Source organism: Homo sapiens, chromosome 3 (assembly GCF_000001405.40).
Source record: "Homo sapiens chromosome 3, GRCh38.p14 Primary Assembly".
Classification (NCBI taxonomy): Eukaryota; Metazoa; Chordata; class Mammalia; order Primates; family Hominidae; genus Homo; species Homo sapiens.
In genome coordinates this window covers 147,706,767-147,734,706 of record NC_000003.12, presented here as the reverse complement: position 1 = coordinate 147,734,706, position 27,940 = coordinate 147,706,767, and the positions used below count along the sequence as shown (strand labels likewise).

The 27,940-nt window shown below is 38.9% G+C and overlaps 1 long non-coding RNA gene across 1 annotated transcript in view; it reads left to right on the top strand.

The window, feature by feature from the left end:
• Positions 1–2,264: 2,264 nt before the first annotated feature.
• Positions 2,265–27,940, top strand: part of LOC124909495 (uncharacterized) — a 43,498-nt gene continuing 17,822 nt past the window's right edge. Inside the window, exon 1 of the long non-coding RNA XR_007096279.1 lies at positions 2,265–2,405. This is a non-coding gene — a long non-coding RNA (uncharacterized LOC124909495). The remainder of the gene's footprint in view (positions 2,406–27,940) is intronic.

Sequence of the window (27,940 nt, the reverse complement as noted above, 5' to 3'; positions counted from 1 at the left end):
TGGAGACTGTGGTTTACAGGATTTATTTTATACTTGATGCCCTTTATGCAAATTCTTACGTCTTACCAAGTGCTTCATTCCCAAGCCCATCTTTCTTTCTATTTCAATTTTGGACTTCCAGTCAAACCACAAGAGCTAGGACCTTAAATTTCCTGTCCATCAACAGTGTTTAACATGACTCCAATGTGGAAACAACTGGCAAAATCATTTGGTTCAAGCTCATAGATTTTTAGATGCAGACATGGAAGCGCAGAGACTAAGTGACTCACAAAACATCATATAGTTTGTGAGCGACAGAAATCTTTATGTTTCTTAATTTATCTCTTATCAACTCCAAGAAATGTTTGAGAATGGTTTCAGAGCCCTCTGATGTGGTTAGCAAAGCTACTAAATCAATGTGCCTATTGAAAATACAAAATTAGAGTTCTATCATCTGTTATCTGCTTGCAACTTGAACCACAAAAATATTAAAATGTAGAAATTTAAATAAGATGTGCCTTATGGGAAAAAATGTAAAACCATCATAAACAATCTACTAGCTAGATATTGAAAAATATACCACTTTTAATAATTCAGCACCGAAAAAAAGCATCCTAAAATAATTTGAAGGTTAATACATAAAAACTGAGACAGAGAGAAGAGAAAAAAGAAGGCCTACTCAAAAATTCTATTAATCCTCACTAATGTTCTGTTTTGCCTCCCCTAGGCACTAATTCTTCGTGAGAATGCCAAAATGCTAGATGATATTACCTTGGGTTTCCTAAGTGGGAAGCTTCTTTATATAGTGTGGTACAGCAATGTTTATGTCTTAAAGGCTAACAAGTAAACAGGAGCTAATGTTTACAAAGCAGAAAGTCAATCCGGAGTTCCTGAAAGGTATTTTGTTCATACAGCACATAAGCCAAGTAGCTGGTCAAATAATTAACATCGTCTTCCTTAATTGTTGGTATCAGTTGTCATTAATACATAAAATTAGGAATTTTGCTGGGTCAACATTTTAAATGGGAAGACAATCTCTAGGAACATATTCATTTATTAACTCCTATGACAAGCCGGTGACAGCTCCCCCTTGTACAGAAAAAATGGTTCCTTTTTTTTCACTTTGGTTACTGGCATCTAGTTCTCTAACCCCACATTTTTTAACATCCCATTAATTCAAATCTTCAAACTAATAACCTATATTGTGCAAAGTGAGAGTGTTTAAAAGCAAAGGTGCTGACAGTTTGTAGATAGAGGAAGTAAATTTCTTTTAAAAGACTTTATAGGTGCTTATCTGATTCTGTCAAGGCAGTGATTATAACACACAAATATGACAGCGTTCACTGATAAAGGCAATGTGAGTAACTGCCAACAGAGGCATCCACCAAAGAATATCTAGGCCTGATAATATAGCTATATTAAAATTTAAACCTATTTGTAGAATCGTTGCCCTGGCATTATTAGAGATCATTTCTAGAGGTCAAAAGCAGCTGGTCCTCTCTCCCTGTAAATCTTTAGCATCTTCTCCTTAAGAAACAAGTGATTTAGTTTCCAAATTTAAAGTTTTAAAGTAACAGGCTTTTCACAGGTAATCAGTTCTAAGATCATGAAAACATACAGGGTTTCATATTGCAATTCATACTGTGTACTAGGACATATATTGCTGATGTGAATGTCTTATTCTTTTTTTCTCTGGTGAAGGACCTATCAGTTCAAAAGTTGTGTTCTAGCTTCAGGTTTCGGCTGCAGACAGATTGCTGACCTCAGTCTAGGTGGAAGCCATGAAAAAACTAAACCAAAAAAAAAAAAAAAAAAAGAGCAGACCAACTAACACAGATTGTCAAATGACAAAACTTCAAACCAGAGCAGTATATTCACTTTGATTCCTTCATTCAGTATTCACTTAAGGCCTAATATTTCTGGATACTGAACAAGATTATTCAGAATTTTTTTTTTTTTTTTTTAAGGAAAAAGAAAACCTGGTCCCTGCCTTCAAGGAACTTGTATGGCAAACACTTGCAAGCAAATGACTCTAATAATAGTATGTGTTTACTATGTTCTATGCATTGTTTTTAGTGCTTTACATGAATTAACATCCCTTTTATCAATCCTATAGTGTAAATACTATTATGTTCTCCATTTTACATATGAAGAAATGGAGCATAGAGAGGTTAAGTAATTTGCCTGAGTTCAAACAGCTGATAAAAGAGAGTCAAGTTTCAGATCCAAATATAGGAAGTTTGGCTTCAGCATCCAGGTTCTTTCCCATCATACCACACTCAATTATTCTACAATAGAACACTGGAGAGAAAGAGATGCAGGTGGGGAGGAAGGAGGCAGGAATAATGGGAATAGGTGGAAGAGAAGGCGGAAGATGTATTTATCCGGATACAATCAAAGAACCATTTCAGAGGAAAAAGGAGAATGTGAGTTGGAACTTTAAGTTTGAGTAATGATCCCCAGAAATAATTAAAGAATCCTTCTAGGCAATTTGGAAAATTTTCTTTCATTTATTTTCATTTACTTGTATATATGTGTGTGTTAACCCTTGCCTTTGCATGAGTTTTTCTGCAACCCGAAATTCATACTACATCTCTGTAAAACTAAGGCTAATCTGTAATTACAATTCATTTTATCTGGAAAATGTTATTGTACTCCCTAAAATATGTACACTAATTCTACATAGCAATAATTATTTTGGATGTTAGTTAAATGCTTTGCTAAAACAGGGGGAAACTGCTTTGTTCCTAGTTATTTGGGTAAATTTAATTTAAAAAAAGGTTTTCTTTTTTATTCTTCTTGTTCTCTTCAGTTTGGTCAGAACTGCCTCACGGTCTCATAGTTTTGGTTTGCACTTCAGTGGTTAGAGAAGTCTGAACTCCTTTTGCTTTGGAAAGCTGGTAAGCACAGAAAGTGAGAGGCAAGGATGTATTTGCTAAGGTATATTTCTAGAAAATTCCATGTAGACAGTGTAAAGGGATGGTATTTGATAGAACACACTATTTAAAATTATGACTTTGGAATGGGGACATTTTAAACTCAGTTATAGGCATATATGGCCTCTTTTCCTTTCCTTTCTTCCTCCACCACAAAATTCTATGTTGACTGGAAGTCAACTATTTTGAGAGATGCTATATTGAATTGTAGGATAGTAAGAAAAGTCATGTAGCTGATATACTGCGATGGGAGCAGCTTAACAGCAGCTTTAACTGATAATTCCTAGTTTTCTGTAGGCTCATTAGCGCAAACAGTGTGGAATTGGCGAGCCACCGTCCTAATCAGTACAGTTGTAGGGTAGGCATTAGGCATTAGGGTTTCCAGAAATTGGACCCCTGATAGCTCTTAGAGCTAGAGCCTATGTCTTATTTCACTGTCCTAAACCACTGAAAAATATAACAGCCACAGCATGTTTAATTTCACTGAGCTATAAGTGTTGAGGAAAAAATATTTTTAAATCACTTTTAGATTTTAATTAATATGTCTAATAATCTCTTGGGAAATCTCTAGCAAGGCAGCCAATGAAAATGTGATGATTGCAAACTTGATTTTATAGAAGTATATTTTGTATGCTTTTTATTCAGATATCTGCAATGTCACAAGGAAAATATTAATATTTTTTGCTCTAGTTTGTCAAATTTTGATAAAAATTATTTTATACATCTTAATTTTATTTGCTAGAACATAATTATAATTTTATACTATTTGTAAACTAAATGAAATTTCAGGATTCAGTCCAATGGTCACCTTATTCTACTTTGGAATAATGAAAACAACATTAAAAATATTAACCAGCTACTCTACAACTCATGGAGTGTGAAAGTTTAAGTAAGTATTCTGGTGACAGCTTGCAACAGAAATAGAAAGTGGCATACCATTAATCAAGTTATCTGATATGTCATAAAAAGGTGGAATTGGTGGAAAACATAGCTATTTCCACTACATTCTCAAGACAGTACTGTCTGCAGGTATTCTTCTAAAGCCTTCATGCTGTGGACCCTTTTGTCCAAAGCATTTTAAGAAGGTCTCCTGTGAGCCCTTTTCATTAATCACCAGTGTAGTCTACACGGGAGTCTCCTGAAAGAAGTAGAGGAAAGTCTTGTGTTGAGAGACCTTCAGAAACAGATGACAAGAGCACCCCAGCCTCGAGACGGGGTCATGAAGGGTGGAAATATGAGCTCCTAACCCTTGACCTCTTTGCCTCTTTATTTTGATTCCTTTAACAATACACGTTTGGCAGACACAAGCAGTGGCAAGTCCTTCTCTCTTTTGTTAGGCTTGGGAAAAACTCAGGGCAGCTCACTGTGACTCCCACCTAAGGGCTTGCCTGGTTTTTAATTAGAATTACAACTCATGCCACATTTTTTTAAATAATGGTTTTTAAAAAGACCCAAGCAATAATATATTTCTAAAATTTCCATAGCCAAATGAGCATAACTTTCAAGGGGCCATTATTAGTTTTTTGTGTGTGAATGGGATTTTTTTTTTTTTTGGTGGATCTGTTTAGATATTTTAAATTGTATTTGTTTTGTCCCCTACAGTTAATGTCTTTTTTAAGTGATTTCACAAATGTTAGTGGTTACAGATCATGAAAGGATGTTAAAAAGGGATGCCACGGCTCTGGAAGAACAAGATGAATATTATCCATATGTGTGTTCACAATCTTGGAGAAATAACAATAACAACAAAACTATAATAATTTTTCATAGAACTATCTATCCAAACATAACCTTACAGTAAAAAATTTTAAATAGTGCTTCTTATGAAAACACACATTATTCTAATTTAATGCTAAAATGATCGGGTCCATTTACATTTGATAGTTTCTGAGATTCTAAAAGCTTGTGTATTTATTGACCCAAGTAAGTTACCATGGACTTTTGTCCAAAGAAAATAAAAAACATGACATGCAAAGAAGCTGTGGAGCAAATGTCACATGGCTTTGGTTCCAAAAATTCAAAGAATATACAGAGAGCTGATAGTCAACTAACATTCTGGTACATAATACCAGGAAAAAAAATCGAGAATTTTCATTATTCCTAGAGAAATGCTTGTCCCTGCCTCCCTCTCTTTTTCCTGTTTTCCTCTACCACTTCCTCCTGTTTTCACACAAACAAAAATATTGAACTCAATTTTACCCTATTTTTCAGGTTGTCTTAATGGTTAGTAGTCACATCCCATAATCCCTTTAAACTTTTAAAAATATTACTTGGGGCTTGGACACAGGAAGGGGAACATCACACACCGGGGCCTGTTGTGGGGTAGGGGGAGGGAGAAGGGATAGCATTAGGAGATATATCTATTGTCAAATGACTAGTTAATGGGTGCAGCACACCAACATGGCACATGTATATATATGTAACAAACCTGCACGTTGTACACATGTACCCTAAAACTTAAAGTATAATAATAAAAAAAAAATTACTTGGGGTTATTATGGTGCTGGGGCTGGAAAATCTAGTGTCAGATGTAGCCAAGACATTTGTTTGTTACATATGTATACATGTGCCATGTTGGTGTGCTGCACCCATTAACTCGTCATATACATTAGATATATCTCCTAATGCTATCCCTCCCCCCTTCCCCCATCCCACAAGAGGCCCCAGTGTGTGATGTTCCCCTTCCTGTGCCCAAGAGTTCTCATTGTTCAATTCCCACCTATGAGTGAGACCATACGGTGTTTGGTTTTTTGTCCTCGTGATAGTTTGCTGAGAATGATGGTTTCCAGCTTCATCCATGTCCCTACAAAGGACATGAACTCATCATTTTTTATGGCTGTATAGTATTCCATGGTGTATATGTGCCACATTTTCTTAATCCAGTCTATCACTGATGGACATTTGCATTAGTTCCAAGTCTTTGCTATTGTGAATAGTGCCGCAATAAACATATGTGTGCATGTGTCTTTATAGCAGCATGATTTATAATCCTTTGGGTATATACCCAGTAATGGGATGGCTGGGTCAAATGGTATTTCTAGTTCTAGATCCTTGAGGAATCGCGACACTTTCTTCCACAATGGTTGAACTAGTTTACAGTCCCACCAACAGTGTAAAAGTGTTCCTATTTCTCCACATCCTCTCCAGCACCTGTTGTTTCCTGACTTTTTAATGATCACCATTCTAAATGGTGTGAGATGGTATCTCACTGTGGTTTTGATTTGCAGTTCTCTGATGGCCAGTGATGATAAGCATTTTTTCATGTGTCTGTTGGCTGCATAAATGTCTTCTTTTGAGAAGTGTCTGCTCATATCATTTGCCCACTTATTGATGGAGTTGTTTGTTTTTTTCTTGTAAATTTGTTTAAGTTCTTTGTAGATTCTGGATATTAGCCCTTTGTCAGATGAGTAGATTGCAAAAATTTTCTCCCATTCTATAGGTTGCCTGTTCACTCTGATGGTAGTTTCTTTTGCTGTGCAGAAGCTCTTTAGTTAAATTAGATCCCATTTGTCAATTTTGACTTTTGTTGCCATTGCTTTTGGTGTTTTAGACATGAAGTCCTTGCCCATGCCTATGTCCTGAATGGTATTGCATAGGTTTTCTTCTAGGGTTTTTATGGTTTTTAGTCTAACATTTACGTCTTTAATCCATCTTGAATTAATTTTTGTATAAGGTGTAAGGAAGGGATCCAGTTTCAGCTTTCTACATATGGCTAGCCAGTTTTCCCAGCACCATTTATTAAATAGGGAATCCTTTCCCCATTTCTTGTTTTTGTCAGGTTTGTCAAAGATCAGATGGTTGTAGATGTGTGGTATTATTTCTGAGGGCTCTGTTCTGTTCCATTGGTCTATATCTCTGTTTTGGTACCAGTACCATGCTGTTTTGGTACTGTAGCCTTGTAGTATAGTTTGAAGTCAGGTAGCATGATGCCTCCAGCTTTGTTCTTTTGGCTTAGGATTGATGCAGCCAAGACTTTTTTATTTGTTTGATTTCAGCTCAAGTTCAAACAAAAGCACCAAAGTTGAATATTTTAATTATATGGTTGAATTTTAACTACTTTACAATAGCGTTTTATCTGGTTGAATTTTAATTACAATAGTGTTGTTTTGTTTTTTAGGCTACTCCATAATTGTTAAGTCTCTACTTCTTTAATTCATTATATAGTCAAAAAATAAATTGAATGTGATATTTTTCTTTCTTTTTATTATTATACTTTAAGTTTTAGGGTACATGTGCACAACGTGCAGGTTAGTTACATGTGTATACATGTGGTATGCTGGTGCGCTGCACCCACTAACTTGTCATCTAGCATTAGGTATATCTCCTAATGCTATCCCTCCCCCCTCCCCCCACCCCACAACAGTCCCCAGAGTGTGATGTTCCCCTTCCTGTGTCCATGTGTTCTCATTGTTCAATTCCCACCTATGAGTGAGAATATGCGGTGTTTGGTTTTTTGTTCTTGTGATAGTTTACTGAGAATGATGATTTCCAATTTCATCCATGTCCCTACAAAGGACATGAACTCATCATTTTTTATGGCTGCATAGTATTCCATGGTGTATATGTGCCACATTTTCTTAATCCAGTCTATCATTGTTGGACATTTGGGTTGGTTCCAAGTCTTTGCTATTGTGAATAGTGCTGCAGTAAACATACGTGTGCATGTGTCTTTATAACAGCATGATTTATAGTCCTTTGGGTATATACCCAGTAATGGGATGGCTGGGTCAAATGGTATTTCTAGTTCTAGATCCCTGAGGAATCGCCACACTGACTTCCACAATGGTTGAACTAGTTTACAGTCCCACCAACAGTGTAAAAGTGTTCCTATTTCTCCACATCCTCTCCAGCACCTGTTGTTTCCTGACTTTTTAATGATCGCCATTCTAACTGGTGTGAGATGATATTTCATTGTGGTTTTGATTTGCATTTCTCTGATGGACAGTGATGGTGAGCATTTTTTCATGTGTTTTTTGGCTGCATAAATGTCTTCTTTTGAGAAGTGTCTGTTCATGTCCTTCACCCACTTTTTGATGGGGTTGTTTGTTTTTTTCTTGTAAATTTGTTTGAGTTCATTGTAGATTCTGGATATCAGCCCTTTGTCAGATGAGTAGGTTGCGAAAATTTTCTCCCATTTTGTGGGTTGCCTGTTCACTCTGATGGTAGTTTCTTTTGCTGTGCAGAAGCTCTTTAGTTTAATTAGATCCCATTTGTCAATTTTGGCTTTTGTTGCCATTGCTTTTGCTGTTTTAGACATGAAGTCCTTTCCCGTGCCTATGTTGTGAATGGTAATGCCTAGGTTTTCTTCTAGGGTTTTTATGGTTTTCAGTCTAACGTTTAAGTCTTTAATCCATCTTGAATTGATTTTTGTATAAGGTGTAAGGAAGGGATCCAGTTTCAGCTTTCTACATATGGCTAGCCAGTTTTCCCAGCACCATTTATTAAATAGGGAATCCTTTCCCCATTGCTTGTTTTTCTGAGGTTTGTCAAAGATCAGATAGTTGTAGATATGCGGCGTTATTTCTGAGGGCTCTGTTCTGTTCCATTGATCTATATCTCTGTTTTGGTACCAGTGTATTTTTCTTCTCCTTGGGATGCATGACTGCTTGCCTCAGCCTCCTGGAAGAGTAGAAGACTGAATTATGCAGTTTCTCATTCACGGGAAACAAATCTTGCCTATCAAAATATTTTAAAATATGCCATGTTATCTTTCACCTCAATTAAATATATAAGAAAATGTAAAAAAGCATATTTAGGGGAGAGGATTGTGGACTTCATGGTGAAACCTCCAAATGCAGAACTCCTGAGAACGATTTGAAGTGAAGGTCTTGAACTATAGAAATATAGGCAGTTATCCCTCCAAAAATGAGAGCCGAAGTTAGGAGAAAGGACGTTTGCAAGGGAGATATATTGGAAAAGAAAGAAAAGGTGTCTAAGACATATGACTATGTATTAGTCAGGGACAGAGTTCTCTTAGTAGGCTGGAAAGATAGGCCCATCTCTCTTTTTCACATTTTTATGCCTGCTTTATATTCACTGGAACCTGGTTAGATTGTGCCCACCAGATTAAAGTTGGATCTGCCTTCCCCATCCCACTGACTCAAATGTTAATCTCTTTTGGCAACACCCACGAAGACATACTCAGGATTAATACTTTGTATGCCTCAATCCAATCAAGTTGACACTCAGTATTAACCATCAGAAGCCCACCCCTTGTCAACCGGAACCCATACACATCTCCTGAGATCATACATAATCTTCAAATAAAGACAATAATGAGGTCATAACTACAGCTAACATAATACAACTATCCTTCATACAACCAGAAAAGCACCAATCTCCAACCCAAATACTATTACATAAAGTTAACAATACTTAAATATTGATATTAAGTCAATAAATTTTATATCACATGATGAAGAAAGGAAATAAAATGAAGTTTTTTTTTGGACCAGTATATATATGCACAAACATGTTTTTAAAAAAAGAATGAGAAAATACTCATGATAATTAAGGTCTTTGTTTCTGTAGCTGGTCATGTGGTTATAGCTGGTATTATTGACTACCTTCTTCTGCTATTTGTTCTGTATTCCCTTTGCCTTCAGCAAGCACCTCAGCAGATAGTGTTTTGTTTTGTTTTGTTTTGTTTTCCTGGTGGAGTGACACAAACCCTCATTCCTAAAGGATCTGGGTCTTTTGTAGTCCTTCCTGCATTGGGCTGTTGTAGTTACCCATTATCCTTAATCGCAGGACACAGTAATACTAAGAGACACCCTAATGGATCTCCTGTATTCCACGCATACTCTTCCTTACCTCCACTGTGGAGTAGAAGACTGATTTCATCTTAATAGTCAGGGTCAATCACCCCAGCCAACAGTGTAACTCCCTTCTTAGCCTGTTGACTTAAAGGTAGGAGGAACCCAAAGTGTCCAGGTGGCAATCTTAATTTCCACTTTAATGGGATCGTTATTGTGTCTCCTGGTGGCAGCATTCCTTCCTCTGGAACTAAGACCTCTAGGCCAGCAGAACATAATGTTGTTGGAACAGGAAGGAAAAATTTTGCTGGTGGATCACTAGGGGTGATGGTAAGAGGTGCCACTTCCACTTTCACACCTTGATTCCTGTACCTGTGAATCCTGGCTAGGAGAGAAAGAGTACAATATATTGGACACTGATTCAGAGCATGCACGCCCTTCTGGAGAACTTTGCCTCAGCCCTGCAAAGTATTGCACCTAGTTGGCATTGTAATTGTGACTTCAAAAGGCCATTCCACCATCCTATCAATCCAACTGCTTCAGGATGATGGGGAAGATGGTAAGACTAGTGAATTCCATGAGCACGAGCCCACTGCTGCACTTCTTTAGCACTAAAGTGAGAGCCTTGGTCAGAGGCAATGCTGTGTGGAATACCATGATGGTGGATAAGGCATTCCATGAGTCCATGGATGGTAGTCTTGGCAGAAGCATTGTGTGCAGGATAGGCAAACCTATATCCGGAATGTCTATTCCAGTGAGGACAAAGCTCTGCCCTTTCTATGATGGAGAGGTCCAATATAATCAACCTGCCACCAGGTAGCTGGCTGATCACCCAGAAGAATTGTGCCATATCGAAGGCTCATTTTTGGTCTGTGCTGCTGGCAAATTGGGCACTCAGTAGTGGCTGTATCCAGGTCAGCCTTGGTGAGTGGAAGTCCATGTTGCTGAGCCTATGTGTAATCTCCATCCCTGCTACCATGACCATTTTGTTCATGGGCCCACTGGGCAATGACAGGGGTGGCTGGGGAAAAAGACTAAGTGGTGCCCACAGAACAGGTTATCCTATCCACTTGATTAAACTCCTTCTCTGCTGAGGTCAGCTGTTGGGGAGCACTCACATGGGATACAAATACCTTCATAGTTTTTGACCACTCAGAGAGGCCCATCCACATAACTCTTCCGCAAATTTCTTTGTCACCAATTTTCCAATCAGGCTTTTTCCAAGTCCCTGACCATCCAGCCAAACCATTGGCTACACCCCATGAATCAGTATACAATTGCACACCTGGCCATTTCTCCTTCCATGCAAAGTGCACAACCAGGGAAGATTCTGCCTGGGAAGTTCTCAAAGTTCTGCACACTGGGAAGATTTACTTTCACCACTGTCCTTCAGGGATATCTTAGAAAGGGGCTGTAGTGCTACAGTTTTCTACTTTTGGGTGGTACCTGCATATCGTGCAGAACCATCTGTGAAACCAGGCCCTAGTATTCTCTTCCTCTGTCAGTTGATCATAGGGAACTTCCAATGAAACCATCAGTGCAGGCTGGGAAAGAGAAGGCAGGGTGGAAGGAGTGGAGACCATGGGCATTTGAGCCACTTCCTCATGTAACTTACTTGTGCCTTCAGGACCTGCTTGAGCCTGATTACATATATACCACTTCCATTTGATGATGGAATGGTGCTGTCATGGTTAGCTGGGTCAGAAAGCAACTTGTTCATGATAGGCAGTTCAAGTTGCATGGTGACTTGATGACCCATAGTCAAACATTCAGTTTCCACCAAAGCCCAGTAACAGACCAGAAGATGTCTCTCAAAAGGAAAGTAGTTATCTGCAGAAGATTACAGGGCATTGCTCCAAAATCCTAGAAGCCTCCACTGTAATTCTTCCTATCAAAGGCTCCAGAAAGCAACCCTATCTGCCACTGACACCTCAAGCACCATTGGATCTACTGGGTCATATGGCACAACTGGCAGAGCAGCTTGCACAGCACCCTAGACCTGTTGTAGAGCCTTCTCTTATTCTGGACCCCATTCAAAACTGGCAGCCTTTCAGGTCACTCAATAAATGGACTGGAGTAACACACCCAAATGAGAATGTTTTGCCTCCAAAATCTAACTAGGCTTACTAGGCATGCCTCTTTCTTGGTTGTAGGAGGGGCCAAATGCAGCCATTTATTCTTCACCTTAGAAGGAATATCTTGACAGGCCCCACATCACAAGACCTCCAGGCATTTCACTAAGATAGAAGGACCCTGAAATTTAGTTGGATTTATTTCCCGTCCACTGGAGTGCAAATGTCTAACCAATAAGTCCAGTGTGTTTGCTACTTCTTGCTCACTGGATCCAATCAGCATAATGTCATCAATGTAATGGACCAGTGTGACATCTTGCAGAAGCAAAAAGCAATCAAGGTCTCTCCGAATAAGATTATGACACAAAGCTGGAGAGTTGATATACCCCTGAGGTAAGACAGTAAACATATATTCCTGGCCTTGCCAGCTGAAAGACAACTGTTTCTGGCAGGCCTTATGGATGGGAATGGAGAAATAGGCATTTGCCAAGTCAGTGGCTGCATACCAGTACCAGGAGATGTATTAATTTGCTCAAGCAATTAAACCACATCTGATACAGAAGCTGAAATTGAAGTCACCACTGGGTTAAGCTTATAATAATCCACTGTCATTCTCCAAGATCCATCTGTCTTCTGCACAGGAAAATGGGAGAGCTGAAAGGGGTAGTGATGGGAATCACCACCCCTGTGTCTTTCAAGTCCTTGATGATAACACTAATCTCTGCAGTCCCTCCAGGGATGAGATATTGTTTTTGATTTACTACTTTTCTAGGGAGAGGCAGGTCTAATGGCTTTCATTTGGCCTTTCCCACCATAATAGCCCTTACCTTAGCAGTCAGGGAGCCAATGTGGGGCCTCTGCCAGCTGCTTAAGCATGCTATGCCAATTATGCATTCTGGCACTGGGGAAATGACCACAGGATGAGTCCGGGGACCCACTGGACCCACTGTAAGTCAGATCTGAACTAAAATTCCATTAATTACCTGACTGCCATAAACCCCTACTTTAACTGGAGGACAAGAGTGACATTTTGGGTCCCCTGGAATCAATGTCAGCGCAGAGCCGGTGTCCAGTAGTCCCCAGAATGTCTGGTCATTTCCCTTTTCCCAATGCACAGTTACCCTGGAAAAGGCAGGAGGTTTCCCTGGGGATGGGTGGGAGAAAGCTTCATTGTATAAATTGTCGGTAATGTAATGGGGTCCTTCCTCAAGGGGACTCAGCTTCCCCTTCATTCAAGGGGTTCTGGGTCTGTAAACTGGCTCAAGTCTGGAAATTGATTGAGGGGCTCTGATTCTCTGTTTTTATAATTCAAATTAGTCTTTTGTCCATTCTATCTATAAGTTTCTGTTTGTATACTTTAAGTAGGAATGCAGTAGGCTTCCTATCAATTTCACTTCTAGGAACACTGTGATTAATAAGCCAATGCCAGAGCTCTATATGAGTCAGACTATTCTGATTGCCACTTTGCCTCTGCTGTCCATTACGGTCGCTACACCCACCTTGCCTTTGATGGCTGAGTGCTGCCACTTGGCCCCTTCCACCTTGGGATCCAGTTGTTCCCATTGTATTTAAATTTTGGAGCTGAGTGACTGAGGTTCCCACTGTTAAATCTGACATACAGAGAAGAGCAATTACAGGACTCTCCAGTGATGCAGGTGCTGCTTTCACAAATCTATTTTGCAAGGCACTGGTCAAGGATATATCTTCTGGACCCTCCCAGCTGGGATGAATAAGTCTAAAGTTACTAATCCACTCCACCATCCCAATCTCCCTAAGCCTTTGGATCCCTTCCTTTACATAAACCGAGGGAGATCAGGCATTTCCAGCTTGCTCACAGTGGGCCATCTTTTAATCCATATTTCAGCTAACGAAGCAAATTAACTGTTAGAACCTTTTTTATCTCTCCAAGCTGCAACATTAAATGCAGAGTCCCTACTTAGTGGGCCCAAATCAATAAATTCAGCCTGACCCAACTCCATGTTCCTTCCACCATTATCCCATACCCTTAGTATCCATTCCCATGCCTGTTCTACAGATTGCTGTTTATATAAATTAGAGAACTCAAACAGTTCTTTCTGAGTGTAGTGCACCTCCTCATGGGTCACAGTCTCAACCTCACCTCTAGGGATCTGCTGGGACTTTAGTCTTGCTATAGGTCTAGAAGCAAACAGAGGTGTTTGGGGTAGAGGAGAATCAATATTATCTTGCCTGGCAACTGCCTCTGGGGAGGCCATCACTGTTGATAAACCCAGGCAGCTCAGGGTTTATCTCTTCAGACACAGGTGGAAAGGGTGATGGCAGCATGGGTCAGGTAGAAGATGTTGCCACTGCTGGGGATGGGGAAGCTGTTCATTCTGACAAAAAAAAAAAAAGGTTCATCCGAGTTCACAAACTCAGTGTCCCCATCTTCATCGGGGTCCTCCCACACACACACACACATTCCCATTCCAAGTTGCAGGGTCCTATTCTTTTCCAATAAATGCTCTCACTTTAACAGTAGACACCTGGCAAGGCTGTGCATGCACCTTTCATTGCAGGTCAGCCACTTGCATGATAAAAATTTGTGTCTGTTTTTCCACAATTGCAGCTCTTTCTCTACAGGAGATAAGACTCACTCAGGGAAATTCTAGCAGATTTGAGGCTCAGTATCTGCTTCTGAAACCAGGAGAGACAGAATCCCTGATTTCATTATTTTCTTTCATCACTTTGTCCACTGAATTTAAGAGCAACCAACCAGCTTCATTATGTTCCTTGGTTTTCCACATATGGTCAAAGATATTATGTATAGAGTCACTAAACCCCTTGCCTCTCACGAGTGGTGAATCAGGAGCGTCAAATGCATTAATTTTGCATAACTCTCTAAACGGTTTCCACCAAGGATGATCAGTGTTCTCCGTACTATTAGAAGTAGAGTCCTTACCATTTTGGGGTCTAATCATATTAAGTAGCAACTCCAGAAACCGCAAAACCAACAAAATAACTCCATCCTTAATGTCATGTTCCTCTAGACCCCACTCCTGGTGCCAAAATCTGTATTAGTCAGGGTTCTCTAGAGGGACATAACTAATGGAATATATATATATATAAGTTTATTATTAACTTACACAACCAACAAGTTCCCACAATAGGCTGTCTGCAAGCTGAGGAGTAAGGAGAGCCAGTCTGAGTCCCAGAACTGAAGAACTTGGAGTCTTATATTCGAGGGCAGGAAGCATCCAGCTTGGGAGGTAGATGTAGGCTGGAAGCTAGGTCCATCTCTCTTTTTCATGTTTTTCTGCCTGCTTTATATTCGCTGGAAGCTGATTAGATTGTGCCCACCAGCTTAAGGGTGGATCTGCCTTCCCCAGCCCACTGACACAAATGTTAATCTCTTTTGGCAACACCTTCACAGACACACCCAGGATCAATACTTTGTATCCTTCAGTCCAATTGAATTGACTCTCAGTATTAACTGTCACAGACTATAATTAATATTTCTTTATTTTTTGAGATATCCCAATATTAAAGATAAATCATTGCTTTTGCCAGATTTGGAAACGTCCTTTAGCTTTAAACATGTTCTCTACTCAAATATACTACTTCCTTTAATATAATGCAAAAGATTTCTTAAATTGAAAGACTCTTCTTAAGAAAATCCAAAAGATGTCAATAATACCATTTCAATATTTTTAAAAAATATTTTAAATATTTAAATATTTTAAAAAGATCCATTTTTCCAGCTAAATAAGTTGAATTCAAAATTGTCCTTTTTATGTTTCCTGTACTTTCCATTCCTTCTCTCCTTTCTATTTGACCTCTCCCTCTCTCAATCATTACTTCCTTGCCATTTGCCTTCAACTCTTCCTTCTCTCTCTCACCAGAGAAAGAAGGGTCCTTATCAGCATGTGAGCATCTTTAAATGCTCACATATCTCCAATTTAAAAAGAAACAAATACGCTGGATGTGGCGGCTCATGCCTATATTTGCAATACTTTGGGAGGCCGAGGTGGGTGGATCATCTGAGGCCAGGAGTTCGAGACCAGCCTGGCCAACATGGCAAAACCACATCTCTACTAAAAATACAAAAATTAGCTGGGTGCAGTGTCATGCTCCTGTAGTCCCAGTTACTTGGGAGGCTGAGGCAGGAGAATTGCCTGAACCCAGCAGGCTGAGGTTGCAATGAGCCAAGACTGAGCCACTGCAATCCAGCCTGGGCAACAGAGCGAGACTCTGTCTCAAAAACAAAAACAAAAACAAACAAACAAAAATATAACAATTCCCTTTCTTGTTTCTTTTTGTACCATATTTATCTCCTTTCCTTTAAGGTTAAAATTACGGAATTTGGTGTCTATATTTCCACATACCACTTCATTCACACCCATGACAATCAGGCTTCCATCTTGACAAAGCCATTAAAACTGGGATCACCAGTTCTTGTTGCTAAGTCTAATCTAAATCCAAAACCTTACTTACCCCCTTAGCATTTGACATGGCTAACAACTTCTATGGCCACTTTTGATTGCATATCCTCCTGAACTTCCTCCTCCTACTTTTTCAATAAAGCTTTATATTTTGAAATACTTTCAAACACACAAAAGTTGCAAGAATAATACAAATACTTCTCTTTACCTAGATTCACATATTTGCTATGTTTTGCTCATTTTGCATGCGCATTTCTCTTTTTCTCTCTTTCCAAATAGACCAACGGACAGATAAATCAGACAGGTAGATATAGCTATAGATGTAGATATAGATTTGCTAACTTTTTTCTGAACCTTTTGAGCCTAGGTTACGTACATTGTTCCTCTTTACCCCATGACACTTCCATGCGTATTTCTTAAGACTAAGAATGTTCTCTTCCATATTCACAGTACGATTATCAATTCATGACAATTAATATTTATATTAGATTGCAATCTATTACAGTACATTTTCCTAATATCTTTTATAGCATATTTTTCTAGGAAAGAATCTCCTGGTACAGTATCGCCCAATACATTTTGTTGTACATCTCTTTAGTCTATTAATCTGGACCAGTTCCTCAGTCTTTCTTGGGTTTCATTCCATTGACATTTTTAAAGAATGAGACAAATGTTTTATATAATGTCCTTTAATTTGGGTTCTCTTGCATTTCCTCAATATTAAATTCAACTTTTTATTTTTTGGGGCTGGAATCCTACATAAAGAAGGTTATATGCTTTTCAGGGTATCAAATCTGGTGGACCATGATGTTCACTTGCCCCATATTAGTGACATTAATTTAGATCACTTAGTTAAAGCTGTGTCCAATTTCTCCAAAGTGTATTTATTATTTATCCTTTTGTAATTACACTCAAGTGTCATAATTCGTGGTAGTTATGTTCTATATAGTTGCTGTGAATACTGAACTAGCAAATACTGAAGCATTGCTTCCAGAGGAAATCAAGGTCAATTTATTGCAAGCCTCTAATCACAACATTTCCATCAGCCAATAAATACATAACTTTGTTCTGCATGTGTTTTTGTTTAGAGATACCTTATTTAATATAGACCATTAATTAGCATTAAACTCACAACCAATAGCTTTGTAACTCATGCCTGAACGTTTATCTAACACATGTATTTTGACCGTAAGGCACATCACAACCCTCTCACACTTAGGAACACAACAAAGAGACTTCATCACTACATTTTGGGGATATTTTAAGCAGCAAAATAACCCCCAAAAAAGCACAAAAATGCAAAAAACCTGACAATAACTAAACCACAGAGTGCTTGTTTACAGTAAGAGAGCTGAAATAAGACAGAACCACCTCGTTCCACCTCAAATGAAAATATGTGCATTAGGCAATTCAAATTTTTCACTGCTTTTGCATATCATAAGGAATTCCAACAGCCATGAATATTGTTTTAGGGTTTACAAATAACTTTTTTTTTTTTTGGAGACAGGGTCTCACTCTGTCACCCAGGCTAAAGTTCAGTGGCATGATCTTGGCTCACTGGAACCTCTGACTCCCGGGTTCAAGCAATTTTCGTTCCTCAGCCTCCCCAGTAGCTGGGATTACAGGTCCACGCCACCACACCCAGCTCATTAATATTATTATTATTATTATCATTTTGCATTTTTAGTAGAGACAGGATTTCACCATGTTAGCCAGGCTGATCAAGAACTCCTGACCTCAAATGGTCCGCCTACCTCAGCCTCTCAAAGTGCTGGGATTACAGGTGTGAGCCACTGTGCCTGACTACAAATAACTTTTAACAGGAGGGTGAATTTGCAAGTATAGGATCTGTGACTAATAAAGATCAACTGTAATAAGTAATTTGTGGGAGATTCTTAATATTATGTAAGTATTCTCAACCTCATTTAACCTCCCTGCCCACCCTAGATTTGCCATCCATTTCTTTCCTTAATCCATTTTTGCAATGATGGTTGCAAATGTGATTTCAAACTCCATCATTCTTTCTATATTTATTACTCAGAACTTCACTACAAGGAACAAATTTCTCTTCTCTCCCTATCTATTTATCTGTTATTACCAATAGGAACTCATGAAATCTAGTTGTATTTAATGAGTTATGAGATATTTCCTTCAAGTTGTCTCCTGTATCCTTGTGACATTTCCACATCAATTTTTCAGTACTTCTTTCTGGTATCACAGATACTTCAGGCTCATCTTTGATCTTCCCTTGCCTTGAAGTCAGCCATTTTTCCAAGGGACTCTGGTTTATTTGGGTGGGAAATACTCAGCCTTTTTATAGACTCTTCTTCTGGTAGCCTTTATATGCAGGGATCTTTAAGTATCTGCCCCAGGCTCCTTCTCTTAGTACTAATAATTTCTAAATAAGTTCATCCCTTTTATGGCTGTATCTTTCTTTTAAGTGTCAGAGCTTCCTCGCCAACTTCATAGTGACTTTGGCTGCCTTGGTTACACTTAGAATTAGTAAAGCTAGTTCCTGAAATACCATAGGTAGTCAATAAATGAACACTTTTATGACAATGAAATAGAGATTAAATCACCCCAAATTGTGCTTTTACTCTGTGCATAGTCTACTTTTGACAGATATTATTTCACCTTCGTATATCTGACATATGTAATAGTTTATTATGTAAGAAAGTGTTCCTATTGTGGTACCTTCTTATTCCTAGAAGTATTTTTACTATAAATTTTTAACAGATTCCTCATCAAGATCAACAAATAGGATTGCCAGATAAAGTACAGGACACTAAGCCAACTGTGAATTTCAGGTACGCAATGAATAATGTTTAGGAAAGTACGTCTCAACTAAGTTTTAAAATTTCATTGTTTACCTGAAATTTAAATTTGAGTGACGTCCTATTTTTTTATTGCTAAATCTAGCAGCCCTATCAGTATATTATAAACATTTCTCTTCAATAGCATATAACCTGTGAAATGGTTATGGCACCCTCATATTATCTAGAACTAAAAGTAAAATTGCATTGAAAGTATATCAAATGTCATTACATAAAAGGATGAGGAAAAAAAGACTTTATATTTCCAGCTATCATACTTTGGACATTTTGTGGATATACCTCTCACTTAAAATTTAGTTTAAATTTAAAAGAGTTTTACAAGTATATACAAATACATTTAAACATGGTTATAGCTATGCTCATCATTTTCAAGGATGAGTTAAATGAGTTGCGCCACATGATGTAAAGCAAAATAAGATTTCCAGAGGATGCAATGCAATTCATGCAGGATCCCCTTAAGTGATCATCAATGCAAAAAATCAGCACTCCCTCAGGGAAGAACTTTGCTTCCAAAGTACATAGAAAGGTTTGCACAGAACAGAAAACTCTTCAAGGTAAATGGGAAAACCATGCTGAAAGACAAAAAATGGAAACTACAATGGATGTAATTTAGATCCTTCAATATATCACTACCAACTCTAGTATTTGAATTTTTGAAGTAAACATAAAAATGGTTGAGGTAGATAGTGTAGATTAATTGTGTGATACCTCAATTCGTTTGTTTTATTACCAAAGTGGAGAAAAATGGGCAATTAATTCAAATGCAAATAAGATTTTAATGGTCATACTTAACCAAAATTGGGATTATCAGTGTAATCCTATGAAACTCTATTTTTTATTGGTGTGTACTTTGAATTGAATTAAAAAGAAAAGAAATGCAGCTTTAAGGGTATGAATTGCAGAGTTCCTTTTAACGAGAAATATTCTAGGTTCTTGGTTCACTAGGCATGGGATATTTCCACTCTCTCGATAAGCTGACTAGGCCTTGTAAATTTGTAAGATTTGTACTAATGTAATGGGTAGGAAATTTAAGGGTCAGAATGTTATATAGTATTCGATTCCAGTGTTTATAACAAAGAATAAAAATAATAGAATTAATAAATAATAGAGAAAAATAATAGAAAAAATGAACAACAAAAACTCTAGGGATATGATTCTTTCAATATATGTAATTAGAAAGCTATGGATAATAATTTGTAGGGAGGAGGACTCTCCATTGACTTAATAGAAACTAGTTTTTATCTTTGTAAGAAGTTTAATTTACAAAACATGTAGTTTGTATCTGCTTTATTTATGACTAAGAATTGTATTCTTACAGTGGACATAAAGACTAATATGACATAATGATACCCCCAAGCAGCCCAGGTCTAGGAGTGTAGCCATAGCCCTGCATCTGTAAACAAGATAAAGATTTTGTAAATGCTTCTATTCAGTAAACTTCTAAGTTGTAAATGGATTTTAGTATTTTTTAAAATGTGCTTTCATTTTCCTTTCAAGATATTTCTTGGTCCAGGACTGGCTTACAGCAAGTAGAAAGGAAGTAGTAAGTAGAATTTATTCTTGGTTTTCTTTTCAAAAGATAAATGAAGAGCTGAGCTTTTGTATTCAGATGAGACATGCTTGGCAGTTCCAAAGGAGATTAATGGAAGTCTGAATTCCATAAATCATTAAAACATTTTTCAGTTTAAGGGACAGTAACACTTAGCAACAATGCAGAAGATCTGGTAATAAGAAATCTAATGCATGTTGTGCTTTCTCCAGGACTTGACTATTTAGCCTGCACTTCCCAAAATAGAGTTCTTGAGGGGTTGCTATTTTAAGAACAGAACCATAGATTAACTAATCACAACTTTTTCCTGCATGTTGGTACTCAGAAAACAAAGACCTGAAACAACAGCCAAATGAATACTTTGAAAAAAAAAATATTCTGAGAAACCAGGATGGAAATTGATTGTTTTTTATTAGTTAAGCCAAATATAGACATGTCTTATTACCAGGCCTACCTTATACACACTGACAGAGCAGAGGTGGCTTCGCCAAGGAAATGTGGAGTGTTGTTTACCTCTGCAAATGAACAAATGCCCCATGACACAAGCAGTAGAAATCCACTAGACAGGTCCAGGGCAAGATGGCTGAATAGGAACAGCTCTGGTCTGCAGCTCCCAGCCAGAAGGTGGTTGATTTCTGCGTTTCCAACTGAGGTACCCAGCTTATCTCATTGGAACTGGTTAGACAGTGGGCGCAGCCCACAGAGGGCAAGCAGAAGCAGGGTGGGGCATCACCTCACCCACGAAGCACAAGGGATTGGGGAACTCCCTCCCCCAGCCAACAAAAGCTGTGAAGAACTGTGCCTTGAGGGATGGTGCTATCCGGCCCAGATACTACATTTTTCCCAAGGTTTTCACAACCCGCAGACCAGGATACTCCCTTAGGTGCCTACACCACCAGGGCCCTGGGTTTCAAGTACAAAACTGGGCGGCCATTTGGGCAGACACCAAGCTAACTGCAGGAGTTTTTTTTCTGTACTCCAGTGGCACCTGAAACGCCAGCAAGACTGAACTGCTCACTCCCCTGGAAAGGGGGCTGAAGCCAGGAAGCCAAGTGGTCTTGCTCAGTGGATCCCAATTCCATGGAGCCCAGTGAGCTAAGATCCACTGGCTTGAAATTCTCGCTGCCAGCACAGCAGTCTGAAGTGAACCTGGGACGCTTGAGCTTGGTGTGGGGAGGGCCGTCTACCATTACTGAGGCTTGAGTAGGCGGTTTTCCCCTCACAGTGTAAACAAAACTGCCAGGAAGTTCAAACTGGGTTTAAACCACTGCAGCTCGGCAAAGCTGCTGTAGCCAGACTGCCTCTCTAGATTCCTCCTCTCTAGGCAGGGCATCTCTGAAAGAAAGGCAGCAGTCCCAGTCAGGAGCTTATAGATAAAACTCCCATCTCCCTGGGACAGAGCACCTGGGGGAAGGGGCAGCTGTGGGCACAGCTTCAGCACACTTAAATGTTCCTGCCTGCTGGCTCTGAAGAGAGCAGTGGATCTTCCAGCACAGCGCTCAAGCTCTGCTAAGGGACAGACTGCTTCCCCAAGTGGGTCCCTGACCTCTGTGCCTCCTGACTGGTAGACACCTCCCAGCAGGAGTCGACAGACACCTCATACAGGAGAGCTCCGGCTGCCATCTGGTGGGTGCCCCTCTGGGACGAAGTTTCCAGAGGAAAAAGCAGGCAGCAATCTTTGCTGTTCTGAAGCCCCTGCTGGTGACACCCAGGCAAACAGGCTCTGGGGTGGATCTCCTGCAAGCTCCAGCAGACCTGCAGAAGAGAAGCCTGACTGTTCGAAGGAAAACTAACAAACAGAAAGGAATAGCATCAACATCAACAAAAAAGACTTCCACGCAAAACCCCATCCAAAGGTCATCAACATCAAAGATCAAAAGTAGTTAAATCCACGAAGATGAGGAAAAGCCAGCACAAAGAGACTGAAAATTCCAAAAATCAGAATGCCTCTTCCACTCCAGAGGATCACAACTCACCAGTAAGGGTAAAAAACTGGGTGGAGAATGAGTTTGATGAATTGACAGAAGTAGCATTCAGAAGGTGGGTAATAACAAACTCCTCCAAGCTAAAGGAGCATGTCCTAACCCAGTGCAAGGAAGCTAAGAACCTTTATAAAAGGTAACAGGAACTGCTAACCAGAATAACCAGTTTAGAGAAGAACATAAATGACCTGATGGAGCTGAAAAGCACAGCACGAGAACTTCGTGAAGCATACACGAGTATCAATAGCCAAACTGATCAAGTGGAAGAAAGGATATTAGAGATTGAAAATCAACTTAATTAAATAAAGTGTGAAAACAAGATTAGAGAAAAAAGAATGAAAAGGAATGAACAAAGCCTCATAGAAATATGAGACTATGTGAAAAGACTAAACCTACGTGTGATTAGTGTACTTTAAAGTGATGGGGAGAATGGAACCAAGTTGGAAAACACTCTTCAGGATATTATCCAGGAGAACTTCCCCAACCTAGCAAGATAGGCCAACATTCGAATTCAGGAAATACAGAGAACACCACTAAGATACTCCTTGAGAAGAGCAATCCCAAGGCACACAATCATCAGATTCACCCAGGTTGAAATGAAGGAAAAATTGTTAAGGGCAGCCAGAGAAAAAGGTCAGGTTACCCACAAAGGGAAGCCCATCAGACTAACAGCAGATCTCTCTGCAGAAACCTTGCAAGCCAGAAGAGTGGAGGCCAATATTCAGCATTCTTAAAGAAAAGAATTTTCAACCCAGAATTTCATATCTAGCCAAATTAAGCTTCATAAGTGAAGGAGAAATAAAATCCTTTATAGGCAAGCAAATGCTGAGAGATTTTGTCTCCACCAGGCCTGCCTTACAAGAGCTCCTGAAGGAAGCACTAAATATAGAAAGGAAAAATGGGTACCAGCCACTGTGAAAACATACCAAATTGTGAAGACCATCAACACTGTGAAGAAACTGCATCAACTAATGGGCAAAAGAACCAGCTAGCATCATAATGACAGGATTAGATTCACACATAACAATATTAACCTTAAATGTAAACGGGGTAAATGCCCCAATTTAAAGACACAGACTGGCAAATTGGATAAAGAGTCAAGACTCATCACTGTGCTGTATTCAGGGGACCCATCTCACGTGCAAAGACACAAATAGGCTCAAAATAAAGGGATGGAGGAATATTTACTAAGCAAATGGAAAGCAAAAAAAAAAGCAGGTGTTGCAATCCTAGTCTCTGACAAAACAGACTTTAAACCAACAAAGATCATAAAAGACAAAGAAGGGCATTGTAAGATGGTAAAGGGATCAATGCAATAAGAAGAGCTAACTATCTTAAATATATATGCACTCAATACAGGAGCACCCAGATTCATAAAACAAGTTCTTAGACACCTACAAAGAGACTTAGACTCCCACACAATAATGGTGGAAGACTTTACCACCCCACCGTCAATATTAGATAGATCCATGAGACAGAAAATTCACAAGGATATTTAGGACTTGAACTCAGCTCTGGACCATGCAGACCTAATTAACATCTACAGAACACTCCATCCCAAATCAACAGAATATAAATTCTTCTCAGCACCACATAGCACTTATTCTAAAACTGACCACATAAATGGAAGTAAAACACTTCTCAGCAAATGCGAAACAACAGAAATCATAACGGTCTCTCAGACCACACTGCAATCAAATTAGAACTCAGGATTAAGAAACTCACTCAAAACCACACAACTACATGGAAACTGAACAACCTGCTCCTGAATGACTACAGGGTAAACAACGAAATTAAGGCAGAAATAAATATGTTCTTTGAACCCAATGAGAACAAAGACAAAAGGTACCAGAATCTCTGCTAAAGCAGTGTTTAAAGTACCAGCAGTGTCTAAAGCAGTGTTTAAAGGTACCAGAATCACAGCTAAAGCAGTGTTTAAAGGGAAATTTATAGTACTAAATGCCAACATGAGAAAGTGGGAAATATCTAACATCATAATTAAAAGAACTAGAGAAGCAAGAGCAAACAAATTCAAAAGCTAGCAGAAGACACGAAATAACTAAGATCAGAGCACAATTGTTGGAGATAAAGGCACGAAAAAAGCTTCAAAAAATCAATGAATCCAGGAGTTGGTCTTTGGAAATGATTAACAAAATAGATAGACCGCTAGCCAGACTAATAAAGAAGAAAAGAGAGAAGAATCAAATAGACCCAATAAAAAATGATAAATGGTATGTCACCACTGACCCCACAGAAATACAAACTACCATCAGAGAATACTATAATCACCTCTATGCAAATAAACTAGAAAATCTAGAAGAAATGGATAAATTCCTGGACACATACACCCTCCCAAGGCTAAACCAGGAAGAAGTCTAATCCCTGAGTGTACCAATAACAAGTTCTGAAATTGAGGCAATAATTAACAGCCTACCAACCAAAAAATGCCCAGGACCAGACAGATTCACAGCTGAATTCTACCAGAGGTACAAAGAGGAACTGGTACCATTCCTCCTGAAACTATTCTAAACAATAGAAAAAGAGGGACTCCTCCCTAACTCATTGTATGAGACCAACATCATCCTGATACCAAAACCTGGCAAAGACACAACAAAAAAAGGAAATTTCAGGCCAAAATCCCTGATGAACATCAATGCAAAAATCCTCAATAAAGTACTGGCAAACCGAATCCAGCAGCACATCAAAAACCTCATCCACCACGATCAAGTTGGCTTCATCACTGGGATGCAAGGCTGGTTCAACATAGGCAAATCAATAAACATAATCCATCACATAAATAGAACCAATGACAAAAACCACATGATTATCTCAATAGATGTAGGAAAGGCCTTCGATAAAATTCAACACCCCTTCGTGCTAAAAACATTCAATAAACTAGGTATTGAAGGAACATATCTCAAAATAATAAGATCTATTTATGATGAACCCACAGCCAATATCATACTGAGTGGGCACAAGATGGAAGCATTCCCCTTGAAAACTGGCAAAAGAGAAAAATGCCCTCTCTCACCACTGCTATTCAACATAGTATTGGAAGTTCTGGCCAAGCAATCGGGCAAGAGAAATAAATAAAGCATATTCAAATAGAAAGAGAGGAAGTCAAATTGTATCTGTTTGCAGAGGACATGATTGTACATTTAGAAAACCCTATCATCTCAGCCCCAAAACTCCTTAAGCTGATAAGCAACTTCAGCAAAGTCTCCAGATACAAAATCAATGTGCAAAAATTACAGGCATTACTATACACCAACAATAGACAGAGAGCCAAATCATGAGTGAACTCCCATTCACAATTGCTACAAAGAGAATAAAATACCTGGGAATACAACTTACAAGGGATGTGAAGGAGCTCTTTAAGAAGAACTACAAACTACTGTTAAAGGAAATAAGAGGACATAAACAAATGGAAAAACATTCCATACTCATGGATAGGAAGAATCAATATCGTGAAAATGGCCATATTGCCCAAAGTAATTTATAGATTCAATACCATCCCCATCAAGCTACCATTGAGTTTCTTCACAGAATTAGAAAAAACTATTTTAAATTTCATATGGAACCAAAAACAAGCCTGTATAGCCAAGAAAATCCTAAGCGAAAAGAACAAAGCTGGAAGCATCACACTACCTGACTTCAAACTATACTATAAGGCCACAGTATCCAAAACAGCATGGTACTGGTACCAAAACAGATATATAGACCAATGGAACAGAACAGAGGCCTCAGAAATAACACCACACATCTATAACCATCTGATCTTTGACAAACCTGACAAAAACAATCAATGGGGAAAGGATTCCCTATTTAATAAATAGTGTCGGGAAAACTGGTAGCCACATGCAGAAAACTGAAACAGAACCCCTTCCTTACACCTTATACAAAAATTAACTCGAGATGGATTAAAGACTCAAAAGTAAGGCCTAAAACCATAAAATCCCTAGAAGAAAACCTAGGCAGTACAATTCAGAACACAGGCATGGGCAAAGACTTCATGATTAAAACACCAAAAGCAATGGCAACAAAAGCCAAAATTGACAAATGGGATCTAATTAAACTAAAGAGCTTCTGCACAGCAAAAGAAACTGTCATCAGAGTGAACAGGCAACCTACAGATTGGGAGAAAATTTTTGCAATCTATCCATCTGACAAAAGTCTAATATCCAGAATTTACAAGGAACTTAAACAAATTTACAGGAAAAAAAAAACCCCATCAAAAAGTGGGCAAAGGATATGAACAGACACTTCTTAAAAGAAGATATTTATATGGCCAACAAACATATGAAAAAAAGCTCATCATCACTGTCATTAGAGAAATGCAAATCAAAACCACAATGAGGTACCATCTCATGCCAGGTAGAATGGCGATCATTAAAAAGTCAGAAACGGCTGGGCACGGTGTCTCATGCCTGTAATCCCAGCACTTTGGGAGGCTGAGGCATGCAGATCACAAGATTAGGAGTCTGAGACCAGCCTGACCAACATGGTGAAACCCCGTCTCCACTTAAAAAAATACAAAAAGTAGCCAGGCACGATGGCATGTGCCTGTAATCCCAGCTATTCAGGAGGCTGAGGCACGAGAATCACTTAAACCTGGGAGGTGGAGGTTGCAGTGAGCCGAGATCGTGCCACTGCACTCCAGCCTGGGTGACAGAGTGAGATTCTGTCTCAAAAAATAAAAGTCAGGAAGCAACAGTTGCTGGAGAGGATGTGGAGAAATAGGAACGCTTTTACACTGTTGGTGGGAGTGTAAATTAGTTCAACCATTGTGGAATACAGTGTGGCAATTCCTCAAGGATGTAGAACCAGAAATACCATTTGTCTCAGCAATCCCATTATTGGATGTATACCCCAAGGATTATAAATCATTCTATTATAAAGACACAGGCACATGTATGTTTACTGCAGCAATAGCAAAGACTTGGAACCAACCCAAATGCCCATCAAAGATAGACTGGGTAAAGAAAATGTGGCACATATACACCATGGAATACTATGCATCCATAAAAAGGGATGAGTTCATGTCCTTTGCAGGGACATGGATGAAGTTGGAAACTATCATTCTCAGGAAACTAACACAGGAACAGAAAACCAAAGCCTCATGTTCTCCTAAGTGGAAGTTGAACAATGAGAACATATGGACACTGAGAATGGCACATCACACACTGGGGCTTGTCGGGGTTGGGGGCAAAGGGAGGGATAGCATTAGGAGAAATACCTAATGTTGATGATGGGTTGATGGGTGCAGCAAACCACAATGGCATATGTATGCCTATGTAACAAACCTGCACGTTCTGCACATGTATCCCAGAACTTAAAGTATAATAATAAAAAAAAGAAAGAAATCCACTAGACTACTGAATAAATAATGAGCAGACTCAAAAAACAAATGAAAGAAGAAGAAATGTCTTATTA